This window comes from Homo sapiens, chromosome 20 (genome assembly GCF_000001405.40).
Source record: "Homo sapiens chromosome 20, GRCh38.p14 Primary Assembly".
Taxonomy (NCBI): domain Eukaryota; kingdom Metazoa; phylum Chordata; class Mammalia; order Primates; family Hominidae; genus Homo; species Homo sapiens.
This window is the reverse complement of record NC_000020.11, coordinates 46,413,954-46,427,583: the sequence shown is the minus strand read 5'-3', so window position 1 is coordinate 46,427,583 and position 13,630 is coordinate 46,413,954. Positions and strand designations below refer to the sequence as shown.

The 13,630-nt window shown below is 40.1% G+C and overlaps 1 long non-coding RNA gene across 1 annotated transcript in view, besides 1 other annotated feature; it reads right to left on the bottom strand.

Annotated features, from left to right (window-relative positions):
• LOC105372633 (uncharacterized) overlaps positions 1 to 13,630 on the bottom strand; it is a 38,193-nt gene that overhangs the window by 17,388 nt on the left and 7,175 nt on the right. Inside the window, exon 2 of the long non-coding RNA NR_146919.1 lies at positions 4,166 to 4,429. This is a non-coding gene — a long non-coding RNA (uncharacterized LOC105372633). The remainder of the gene's footprint in view (positions 1 to 4,165; positions 4,430 to 13,630) is intronic.
• Positions 2,983 to 3,542: an enhancer, noted in NCBI's record as "NANOG hESC enhancer chr20:45052681-45053240 (GRCh37/hg19 assembly coordinates)". NCBI's record gives its function as "activates a minimal SCP1, AML or CMV promoter by ChIP-STARR-seq in naive H9 embryonic stem cells {active_cell/tissue: H9 hESC(naive)}" and the evidence as "EXISTENCE:reporter gene assay evidence [ECO:0000049][PMID:30033119]".

Sequence of the window (13,630 nt, the reverse complement as noted above, 5' to 3'; positions counted from 1 at the left end):
TTCATCAGATCTTTTGCCCATTTTTAAATTAGATTATTAGATTTTGTTCCTATAGAGTTATTTGAGCTCCTTATATATTTTGGTTATTGATCCCTTGTCATGTGGATAGTTTGCAAGTATTTTCATCCATTCTGTGGGTTGTCTTTTCATGTTGTTGTTTCTTTCACTGGGCAGAAGCTTTTTAACTTAATGTGACCCATTTGTCCATTTTTGCTTTAGTTACTTGTGCTTGTGGGGATCATTTCTAGCCTTTGATTTAAAATGAGATATGTGCAACACTTCCTTTCACTTGAACACACAGAAGCCATTGTAGGGTCATTAATTGGCCTAATTTCAATATTCTGTGTCTCAGGGAATAGGGAGGCCCAAGGAGAGAAGTATAGAGATAAGGGAACAGCTGGTAAGTGGAGCATTCAGAACACATATAATATTTATGGATCAAGTTCACTGTCATATGGGCACATTCGTACCCCAAAACAATTAAAATAGTAACACCAGAGATTACTGATCACAAATCACCGTAACAGATACAATCATCGTGAAAAAGTTTGAAATATTGTGAGAATTACCAAAATGTGACATAGAGACATGAAGTGAGGACATGGTGTTAGAAAAAAATGGTGGAGTTGCTCTATGCAGTGTTGCCACAATTCTTCAATTTATAAAAACACAATAGCTGGAAAGTGCAATAAAACCAGGTATGCCTGTACAGATTTAAATAATTGTATTAGAAAAACAAAACAAAGGTTTAAAAATAATGAAGAGGTCCCAGGTAAAGATACAGATTGAATATACAAGCCTAATTTTGTTCCCACTGAAACACCTATTAAAAATAGAGGAAAGGGATTTTGTTTTCACCTTGATATTTTGTAAATGTCAAATCCTCAGAAAAGGCAGAAGAATGCTACAATAAACATCCGTATATGAATCATCCAGATTCACCAGTTGTTAAGATGTTACCACACTTGCTTTATCTCTGTCTCCTTTTTATACATATATGCATACACATTTTTCCAGAATAATTTGAAAATAAATTACCCATGTTATGACTCTTCACTCTTAAGTATACATCCCCTAAGAATAAGGACAACCTCCAATTGTCATAAACTGGCCTCCGTAGAAGGAAGACTCAGAGATGTGCATGCAGGAAATTTATTAAGGCGAGCTCTTGGGATCAACATCTTGGAAAGGGAAGGAAGAAGGATCAGGCAAAGTGAGGAAGTGGACTGTGATACAGATTCAATAAAAGCAACAGCCATCTCCTTGAGGAGCTTTGAAGCTGTAATGGCACTTCAGGGTTGTCCCAAGTTGGAGTGAGGGGAGCTGGGGCTTTGTGCCTTCATGTCCACCAGTAATAAGGCATGAACTGTCTTGGGAGAGGGCGTGACCTTGGGTAAGCCTGGACTCTTCAACCCAGGCACTTCCAGAAAAGAGCTGATATCTGATGGCTATTTGCTGGCAACACTGCCAGCAGCTATAGAAATAAGTCCTTCACTCTTGAGGGGGAATCTGGGCAGTACACCAAGTGTCCACTACAGTCTGCCCGTTTGCCACACAGAGCCACTTTTTCACTTAGGTGCCAGGAGCTACAACTCCAGGATTCCCGTGGGCATCTTTCCTGGGAGAAACTTAAAAGGAGGGTTAGAGGGAGACACTACCAACCCAGCCAGTGCAGCTGGTCTCAGGGCCACAACGGATATTCTTGCTCAGTGTGTTCAGGATCCAAAAATTAGTTTTGATCTGGAAACAAACAAAAAGTTTGAGTAGCAATATCCACATCACATGGGTTGGATTTTAGGAATAAAATTCCAAACTGGATAAAGAGGGATATTATTACTACAAAATTTAAGAAGAGGATTTAATGAGCATAAAACTTTATGCACCAAACGACATAGCAAATAAATATAGAAAGCAAAAAAGTATTAGAAATATAAAGAGAGCCTCATAAAAATACAATTTCGATGGGAGACTTCAACATGTCTATTTCAAAGTCAGTAGCTCTAATAGGAAAAATGGATGCGTAGAAGGATTAAAAATAGAATCAGCAAACTCAAATAAGTATTTCTTCAACTACTGAATATAGATTTTTATGCATACATGGAGTATTTACCAAAATTTATTTCCTATTGGGTCATAAGGAAAATCTTGAAAAATTAAATAAATTAGGTATTTTATAGGCTATCTTTTCCATTCATCATCCAATAAAAAGAGAAGTAAATAATTTAAAATATTACCAAAATATGCTACTGATTTGGAAATTAAGTGTAAGAAATACAGTGTTAGGTAACCGTTGGATCAAAGGAAATAAAAAATAAAATTACAAATTATCTGGAAAACAATGGAAAGGAGACCTCGTCATTCAAAAGCTAATGGAAGACAGAAAAAGCTGCAGTCAATGGAAGTTGTATAGGCTTAAGTAACTTTGTCAATAAATGAACTTAATACTTGTATATGACTCAGTTTATGTATTGCTACAGATCCATAGCAACCCTGTACCCCACGCTTCCTCCTCTGACATCAACCATTGCCCTGCTTCAGTGAACATCACATAGGTCTTACCATGTAAACCAGGTACCAAACTTTAATGTGCCTACAGATCACCTAGGAATCTTGTTAAAATGCAGATTCTGCTTCAGTAGGTCTGGAGGGGAGCCTGAGAATTTGCAATTTTTTTTAAGACAGGGTCTTGCTCTGTCACCCAGGATAGACTGCACTGTTGGAATAATAGCTCAGCTCACTGCAGATGCACACCACTGAGCCTGGCTAATTTTTTTGTCTTTGTAGAGGCAGGGCCTCACTATGTTGTGCAGGCTGGTCTTGAACTCTGAGCTCAAGCGATCTTCCTGCCTTGGCCTGCAAAGTGCTGGGATTACAGGTGTAAGCCACCACAGCTGGCTGAGAATTTGCACTTCTAAAATGCTCCCAGGTTCTTCTGCTGCTACTGGTCCCCTACACACACACGCACACACACACACACACACACACAAACTTTAAGTAGCAAGGCTATACATCATCACCCAAAAGCAATCAGACTGACAGAAATGGCCTCTCCAAGGTTTAGTTAAGGTACCAGCTTGGAGACGACACCTTTTGGGGATGAGGTGCTTTCCTCCAGAATATGGTACATACACTGAATTAATGGCCAATATACAGTGTGATATCCCCAGGAGCAAAGGACTGGAAGTAAGATTAGCCTCTCAAACCAGCTGGCCATTTGGGGCCATTTTGGTCATTCATGCCAGTTGACTAGCAGATAAAGAAAGAATGGTTTTACCTGCTGAGATAATCCACCCTGTAACATGAGGAGCTGGGGTAACTGCTACACAATGAGAATCCAGGGAATCCCTGGGCATCTCTTAGGACTTCCATGCAAAGGACAGTCCTAAATTCCTTGCAGCAACTACAGTTAGACAAGAGCAAGGGCTCAGATCCCTCAGATCCCTTGAGGAGGAAGGTCTGAGTCACTCCACCAGGAAGCAACCCATTTCAGTTGCATAATAGCCAAGAGGGAGGGAAATCCAGAATAGGTAGCAGAGGAGGAAGACAATGAATTGGAATTACTATCCTGGAACAGGTTACAGCAGCAAAAACTGTACTTGGTTTGCCAACCCTCTAAAATTGCCAGAAGCTGCAACAAGTCACCACCTTGGAGGACTGACTTGCATCTCTCCCCTAGGAGACGAAATGAAGGCATCGTTCTTATATGTGCTCCAGATATTATAAGAGGGTGAAAGTAGGTCTGAATGGTGCAAAGTGGAATGTACCAGACTTGGTATGCACTGCCGTAGATCTCTCTGTGATATCTTCTCCCTAAGCCCTATACTCACCAACCTCAGGCCTAAACCCCTTGCCTTCAATCCTAGATAGAAGAGAGCTACAGGGGACAGCAAGCTAGTCCCTGGTCATGGAACGAGGTCCATGCCTCTGCCATTGACTACACTATAGATGGAGAATCCCCACAGTGGCACTGTCAGAAAAGGAGAGACAAGCTACTACCTGCACTAGCTAGATTGGTCTGGAAGGCTCTGGCTTCCCCGGCTGCTGTCTGGAGAGACCAGGTAATACAGCCTGAATGTGCTGGAGGGTTAATGCCCTGTGGGGGAGACTTTGAGCCACAGGGGATGAGACAAGAGACAGGAAGGAGCCGTGGTTAAATTCTACTCACTTTCTCCTCCTGAGGATGTTCCAAGACAGGGTAGTTCATACAACTTCTCTGAAGATCTGAAGATGTACTGTGAGTCCAAGCAGTTAGCTTCATTAATTACAAAACTCGGGTCCTCTCAGTAATGCCTCTTATCTTTGCACTTCTCCTTCTTGCCTCATTTTTCCCTCAATCTGGTTTCTCTGAGGTTGCACTCCCCAGTGAGGTGTTGGCATACAAACTTGCCAAAGGTTCTGTTTTCTAGAGAATCCAGGCTAAAACAATATTCTTGAGAAATAGAAAAAGGACAAGAAAATTAGCTGGGGGAAGGGGAAACTCATTAAGATGGAAGATAATATTTTAGAAATAGTAAGGGGAAATACCAGGAAAAAATAAATCCAAAATCTATGTCTTTAAGGAAAAAAAATCCCAGTATATCAGTCAGGATTCTATATTGCAAGCAACAGAAGCTGATTTGGATGATTAAGCAGAAAGCAAATTTATTAAAAAGATATTGAGTAGCTCATAGTATTTTTTTTTTTTTTGAGAAGGAGTATCACTCTATTGCCCGGGTTGGAGGAGAGTGGCGTGATTTCAGCTCACTGCAAGCCTCTGCCTCCCAGGTTCAAGCGATTCTCCTGCTTCAGCCACCCGAGTAGCTGGGACTACAGGCACACATCACCACGCCTGACCAATTTTTGTGGGCTTCACCATGTTGGTCAGGCTGGTCTCAAACTCCTGACCTCAAGTGATCCGCCCACCTCAGCCTCCCAAAATGCTGGGATTATAGGAGTGAGCCATCATGCCTGGCCAAGTAGCTCACAGTATTATCGGGAGGGCTGAAAAGTCAGATTCAAGGTTAAGCAATGCCCAAAGTATACCCAGTGCTGGCCTGATAAAGAAACTGCCACTGCTGTCACCACCCACCAAAGGCAGGGCCTTGACCTCGCAACCTCTTCTGGAACCGCCACCATCAAAGCTGGTTGCATGTGCCACCTGCGCCTATGGAAATAAAAACTCCATGCAGAATTTGATCCCTCATGTAACTGACTTCCAATTCATTCTACAAACGTCAAATATGCATATCTTAACTGTGAGAGAGATTGGGAATTTGAGGTCTAACTCCTACCCTGGAGAGGTGAAACTCATGATTGTGAATTTCTCCCAACAGAAAAGGGCTATTCAAAGATGATGGCAAGTGATGAATAAGACAGATGTCTACTATGAGACATAAAATAGATATACCCCTCATGAGGCAGATAAAAGATAAGTGAAAGAGAGCAAAAATGTTTAAGAAATAGCTCTGGCGCAACTGATCATCTGAAATAGAGCTGTCCAATAGAAATATAATGTAAGCTACGCATGTAATTAAAATGTCTTTTTTTTTTTTTGAGACAGGGTCTTGTTCTGTCACCCAAGCTAGAGTGCTGTGTCTCTAACATGGCTCACTGCAGCCTCAACCTCCCAGCATCAAGCGATCTTCCTGCCTCAGCCTCCCATGTAGGTGGGACCACTGGCATATATCGCCATGCCTGGTTAATTTTTTTAAAAAATTTTTTAAAGATTGGATCTCACTGTGTTGTCCAGGCTTGTCTCAAACTCCTGGGCTCAAGCAATCCTCCCACCTCAGCCTCCCAAAGTGCTGAGATTACAGGCGTGAGGCACCATGCCTGGCCTAAAATTTTTCTAGTAGCCACATTAAGAAGTAAAAAGAAATATACAGTTAATTTACATAAATATTTTATTTATTCTAATGCATCCAAAACATTCACATTTCAACATATGATCAATATAAAAGTTATAAATTAGACATTTTACAGTCTTTGTTTTCCATACTGAGTCTTGGAAATCAGTGTATATTTTAGACTTACAGCCCATTCCAGTTCTGAAGAGTAATATTTCAAGTGCTCAATAGCCGCAAGTGGCTATGGCTACTGTATTGGACATTGCAGAGACAAAAGAAATAAAATTGGGACTTTATTTTATGTCATTTAGACAGAAATGAGCTCCAGATGAATTAAAGACTTAAATCTAAAAAACTGAAACCATTTTAGAAGAAAACATGTGACATTACATCAACCTAGTACTTGATGAGATCTTTCCATTTATTTGCAAATCAGATGGCAGATAAAGGGTTAATACCTATGTGCGTATCAGAATAAAAATGGTATCAGCATAAAAATGATCAAAAGCTATCCTAGACAATTCCCAGAAGAACAAGTCCAAATGTTGAATAAATGTAAAAAGATGTTCGGTCTCCCTAAGAGTTAAGGAAATGTAAATTACACAACAATGAGTTATCACTTTACTCACATCAGACTAGCAAATTGGGAACATGATAACACCTACTACAGGCTGGAAAGGGACACTCTTCACCACATCGCCAGCAGCTGTGACCTTGTTGGAGAGCAATCTGGCAACGTATATCAAAAGAAAACAACTCCACACATTCTTTCACCCGGCAATCCCACGCATGGGAATTCTTCCCATAGAAATAAAAACACCAGAATATATGTGTCTATGGATGTTCACATCAACAGTGATCATGATTGCAATGGGAGGAAAAAACCTGAAAACAATGTGAATGCCCATAGACAGTAGAATTATTGAGTAAATTGCAGTACATTTATATCATGACATAATGCAGCCATTTAACAAGAATAACTGAAACCTCTGTCTACTGACTGGAGAGCACTTCCATCTTCCATTTCTGAAAGATGCAGAGAAATTTATAAACTGTGGTTCTATTTTTGTAAGCTATAGGAAGAGAAATCTACATATATATGTATATATTTAGATATGATTTTATGAGCATGAAGAAAGATATAGATGGATACAGTCACTCTGCTAGCAATGTTACCTGGGAAGAGGAGAAGCAGGCAGCATCATTGGACAGAAAAGAAGAAATAAAAGGTTAAAAGGAAAAAAAGCTATTATTTCAAGTCAGGACGATTTTTATAAAGTTATCATGTGTGTTTGAAAAAGGCAAACATTTATCTCTATATAAATTTATTTGATTAAACTTGGTGGGCTGGGTGCAGTGGCTCATGTCTGTGATTTCAGCTCTTTGGGAGGCCGAGGTGGGTAAATCGCTTGAGTTCAGGAGTTTGAGACCAGCCTAGGCAACATGGTGAAACCCCATTTCTACCAAAAATACAAAAATTAGCCAGGCATGGTGGTGTGCACTTGTGGTCCCAGCTACTTGGGAGGCTGAGATGAGAGGACTGCTGGAGCCTGGGAAGTTGAGGCTGCAGTGAGCTGAGATGGCACCACTGCACTCCAGCTTGGGTGATAGAACAATAGTAATAAATAAATAGTAAATAAATAAATAAAATAAATAATAAATAAATAAATAAAATAAATAGTAAATAAATAAAATAGTAAATAAAATAGTAATAAATAAATAAATAGTAATAATATTAATAATAAAACCTTGTGGATCATGGTACTAGATCTTTGTTTCTTACTTGATTTTTGACTACTTGTTCTATAGATTTCTAAAGGTAATGTTTCCCACGAAGTCATGGATTTGTTTTCTCCTTATAATTCTGTTTTTGTATTACAAATTTCAATCCTATGTTACTAGGCACACACAAGCATAAGGCTAAACTGATTAGTAGATTGAGTATTTTATCACTATGAAATATTATTTTTTGTCTTTTTGAGTAACAATGATTATTTTTTCTTAAAATCCGTTCTGTCAAATGATAAGATTGCTTGTACCACTTGCTTTCCTTTTCCTGGCATTTTCCCAGTTACCTTTTCCAACTCTTTATTTTCAACCTTTCTATATTACTGTGTTTTACTGTCTCTTATACAAAAACACACGGTTTGACTCTTTTTAAACCCAATTCGAAAGTCACTGTCTTTTAGCAGCGAATTTGATATAGTCATATTTCTTATGGTTACTGATATATTTGCACATTTTCTACCAATTTACCTTGTGCTTTCTATTTTATATGCTGTTTTTGTGTTTCTTTTTCATCCCTGATCTTTGGTTAGCTGCTAGCATTTTACTTGTTCCCAACTAACTTTTCTTCTAATGACTTGAAAAGTATATGTTTAGTTTCTGTATCTTTGTATTTTTGTATACATAGTTGCACATATTATTAATTGACATCCAGAGCTAATTGTATAAATAAAATGAAGCTCCTAGCATGCTTTTACTTCTCTCTCTTACCTCCTTTCCAGACTTCATAACTCTCCATCCTGAGTTATCTCAGATTTTAGTTTATTATTATAGGTTTATTGTTATAATTTATTTAGACTTAAAAGTAAACTTTACTGATTTTCTTGCTCACCTGTGCTTCTTATATCCCTTTTTTTTTCCTAGATTTATTTTCTCTTTGAATATATTTTCTACACCATGGTTTCTCAACCAGAGGTGATACAGCACCCCCTCCAAATGTGGGGCTGCTGTGTATTGTCACGGGGAGGAGAAATGCTACTGGCATTTAATGGATGATGGTCAAGGACACTAAGTAACCTGCAATGTGTGGATCAGTCTTACACAATAAAGAATTGTTCCACCCCAAATGCCAGTGGTACCCTGTTGAGAAAGGTTACTCTATGTGGACAGTGAATTATAAACTTTTTGAATCTGTTTGTGTGTCTTAAAATGTCTTTATGATGTCCTCACATTCACTTGCAGTTTGGCTGGTTAAAGAATGTTAAAAGAACACTTCAAATTAAACTTAATGGAGTTTAATTGAGCAAGAAGAAAAAACAATTCACAAGTCGGGGAGCCTCCAGAACTGCAGTAGATTCAGAGAGACTTCAGGGATGCCTCATGATCAGAACAAATTTATAGACAAAAAAAGGAAAGTGACACACAGAAATTGGAAGTGAAGTAAAGAAACAGGCCGGGCGCGGTGGCTCACGCCTGTAATCCCAGCACTTTGGGAGGCCGAGGCGGGCGGATCACGAGGTCAGGAGATCGAGACCATCCTGGCTAACACGGTGAAACCCCGTCTCTACTAAAAAATAGAAAAAATTAGCTGGGCGTGGTGGTGGGCGCCTGTAGTCCCAGCTACCTGGGAGCCTGAGGCAGGAGAATGGCGTGAACCCGGGAGGCGGAGCTTGCAGTAAGCCGAGATCGCGCCGTGGCACTCCAGCCTGGGGGACAGAGCGAGACTCCGTCTCAAAAAAAAAGAAAGAAAAAGAAACAGCTAGATTGGTTACAGGTTGGCTTTGACTTATCTGAACACAGTTGGAACACGGAGCAGCGTATGAGTGATTGGAGTATGGCTGCTGGGATTGGCCACGACTCAGCTACTGTTACAGATGCATACTCCTAAGCTAGGTTTTCAATCTTGTCTATTAAGTTAGGTTATGGTTAGTCCACAAGTATGGAGTCCTTCTCAGGCCATATTTAGTTCACTTTAACAAGAATCATAAGTTCACAAGTATTTTCACCAGAAAACTTTAAACATGTTATTCTGTTTTCTCACTTACTATGTTGCAAATGTAAAGTCTGGTATCAATCTTCTTATTCCATCCTGCCTAATTTTTTTTCACTCTGAAAACATTCAGAGTTTCCTCCTTATCCTTAATGTCCTGAAATTTCATCATGATTTACTTACATTTCAGTGTTTTTACATTCTTCCTGTAAATATTCACTGGTTCCTCTCAATGTGAGTATTTCCAATTTCTAAGAAATTGTCTTAAATTTTTGCCTTGTTTTAGGCACTCTCCTTCCTTAATTTTCTTCTCTCCTCTAATTCACATTAAGCAGATAGTGGAACTTTTACATCTGTCATTCATGTCTCATAACATTTTGTTCATTCTACCCATCTATTTATTGTTTTGCACTGCATTCCGGGAGAATTACTTAGCATGATATTCTGATTCACTGATATACTCTTCAATCCATTTTGCTATTCAACCCATCTATTGAGATTTTTATTTCAAGAATAATTTTTTTAATTTCTAAAACCTCGATGCATTTTTTATTTTTTTAAAATATGAATACAGTAGGCTCTGCCATTTGTCCAAGGTATATAATGATACTTATTCCATAGTCTGGTTCTATTTGCTCTCTGTTTCCTCAGGTGTAAGTTCTTTGGTTTGTTGTTTTTGATGTTACTGTTTCATGTGTTGGGTTTTCCAAATATCTGGTGACTCTTGGCTATGTTTTTATTTTGAAGTTTAAAATTTCTTGTCAGCCTATCTGAAAGTGCTTTATCTGTTCACCACAGTCTAACTCCAGGGATAGAATATAAATTTGTTTTCTGGACTTGGAGACCTCTGTTTCTCAACCTGCTCACCCAGGACACAGTTTTGCATTCAGACTTACTGCTGCCATCTGCGGGGAGACACTTATGTAACTTACTATTTAGCCAAAGCAGGGTGGATGGGAGGGAGCTGGTCACCATGCCTGACGGCTTCTATTGCACTGCTCCAAATCAATCCCCTATGTCCCCAACCTCTTTGCTCTAGGTATGTACCACCCTTGAAATGACACCCATTAGTTACTGCCTTGGTGTGTTTGAGGCTTTTTTCACTTCTCTTTAATCTCATCTTTTGTAGTTTCTAAACCACTGGAGACATATGCCTTCCTGATTTTCCATATGGTTTTGGAACACACATACACACACACACACACACACACACACACATTTCTGTTATTTCTAGATATTTAGGGGTGGGGCGAGGCTGCCATTAAGTGTCCCATCTGCCATCTTGACCCAATCATCCGTAGATCACTTTTATGAGAAAAAAATGATAATAGCTACTCCTGGGACCTGCCTCTGTTTCAAAACAGCTGTTTCTGCTGTGACTTGGTGCCCTCTGGCTGCTCCTCCTTTTCTTCCAACAGAATTTACAGTAAAGCCAGGCCTGCCTTTGTGGGAAGGCAGCCATAGTAGAAAGACTGACGTAGCATAAAGAGCATGACAGAGGGGACAGAGCAGAGGCTGTGGAGTCAGATAGGCCATTTGCTAGCTCTGTGACCCTGAGCAGTGGTTGCACTAGCAGAAATAGTAGTGCTAATCTATTAAGTAACAAGCATACATTGAGTATCTGCTATGTCCCAGGCAATATGCTATATGAACTGTATTCCCTGATGCATCCTGCAGGTAGGATTATTATTGTCCCTGTTGTACAAGTGAGAAAAGAGGCCAGAGGGGTGAGTCTCAACCTCATCATCTGTTAAACAGGAATGATAAGACCTACACTCAGTTTCATTATGGCAGTTAGCGTTAACATAATGCCAGGCATGTGTTGCACACTAAATACCTATTTGCCGAATAGACAAAAGTGATATAATATATGTAAAATACCTGGCACATACATAGTAGGTATTCATTAAGTGGAAGCATATTACCATTATTATCATTATCCTTATTATTAGCATTCACTGAGATAATGACATTCAAGGATTTTATGTTCTTGGTTTCAACTATGTAAGAACGCCACCACCCCTCCCACCTTCAGATCTATGACATGGACTGATTTATAACTTTGCTGAGGCACGAATTTGAACTACAAGTAGCAAGGCTGGTGAGTGGGCGTGGAAATGTGCCCAGCATCTGTCTTCCAAAATGGGTTTATGTTTTTAATATATGACACCAGTTAACCCTCACCACTACCCCAAAAGGCAAATATCATTATTCCAGTTTTATAGGATGATAAACCTGAAGAAATTGCAAGCTATGGTCACAGGGCAATGGTTTAGGACTCCAGGCTAAGCAGTTGGATGGACGGACGTGGTTCTTTGTGACTCCAGAAACGAACTCTCTGGGCCTCAGTTTCTTCTTCTGTAAAATGGACCTTACAGTGACTCTTTTGTCAACTCAGTTGGAATTCTACTCATCACTCATGCTTCAATGCCTAGTACAAATGCCTTGTGCCACTTCTAAGGATTAGAACCATTCAGGCTGAACTGTCCCCACATGTCCCCACATTCCGCCACTTCCTCCGGCCCTTCATTCACCAAAAGCATCACATGTTGCTAAGAATCAGCTGATTGTACATGCGTCTGCTCCCACAACCAAACGGAAAGCAACTTAAGAGAAGCACTTGAGGTGACAATGAGATGAGTCCCCCAAATTTTAGAAATGAGGCTGACGTCTGATAATTAAACACTTTGTAAAAACGGGATAGAAACAGAGAAATATAATGTCCCCTGTTCCCGTTATTAAGCTGCTGGCTCTCAGCTCCAAACCTACCTTTCCATACCCTGGTCTGTGGTGCTGGAGCTGGAATTCTGAAAAACTGCACTTCTGCTTCACCAGCAGCTCTCTTAGTCTCTGCTAATGGGAGTGCTCAAGGGAGCTACAAGTCTAGAAGAGGAAAAGGCTTTGCTCTTTCCTGTTTGCTTTTTGTGGAATTGTTTTGAGCATCACTTATTCACCTTGGCAACAGCGGTGCAGTGTCTTCTTATAACACCAGCTGAGTCCAGTTTGCAAGTTTCTTCAAAACTTGCAGACCAGATTCTAAGTCTTAATAATTTCAATGTCTTTTCTTTGTTTCTTTCAGCCCTAGAGGTGGTAGATGCTTTCTGCAGTCGCTACCCCCATGAGACCTTAGAGTTCTTTTGATCCTTTCCAGAGACCTACTTAACAACTTTATACCTGGTTAACAATTCTTTATATTGACTTATGTCTGTTCAAATAACTGGTGTGGTTTCTCTCTCCTGACTCAACCCCGAATGACACATTCCCTTGAAGGGGCAGAACATCCCGAGACAAGATGCAACGGTACACCTAAATAAAGACATAAAATCTTCAAAGAAAGATAATGTCCTTCAGAAAAGGGTTTGTCAGCCATAGGCGCCTGGCCCAGGGAGGGTCAGAGAATAAACCCCAGGATGACATCCTCAGCAGTGACAAGAGAACAGACCACCACCATCCATAGCCTGGATGACTGTAAAGACTCCTGCTATAGACTGGATAACTGCTTCATGTGCCCCCTACCCTCCACCCCACTGCCCATTCATATGTTGAAAACTAATCCCCAATGTGATTGTATTTAGAGTGGGGCTTTTAGGATGTGATTAGGTCATGAGTGTGGAACCTTCATGAATGGGATTGGTGCCCTTAAAAAAAGAGACTTCAGAGAGCTCCTTTCCCCTTCTGCCACGTGAAGACACAGTGAGAAGATGGCCATCTGTGAACTAATAAGGCAGCCCTCATTAGACATCAAATCTGATGACACTTTGATCTTGGACTTCCCAGCCCCTAGAACTGTAAGAAATAAATATTTGTTGTTTATAAGCCACCCAGCCTGCGGTATTTTGTTGTAGCAGCCTGATCAGCCTAAGGCAACCTCTACTGGAGGATAAAACCACCCCTTAGTGTCTGCAACCAGCTGCATTTCTTGCTTCTTTAAGCACAGGAGCCCTTCAATGGTCAGGTATAGTCTGGATGAGCAAAACAAACTGTTAATCTTATATAGGTTTGGGGAATAATTTGTTTGGGGATGAGTTTGGTTTCCAAGCAGAGAGAGGGGTGACACCAGCCTGAGAAACATACTCACTGCAGTGAATCT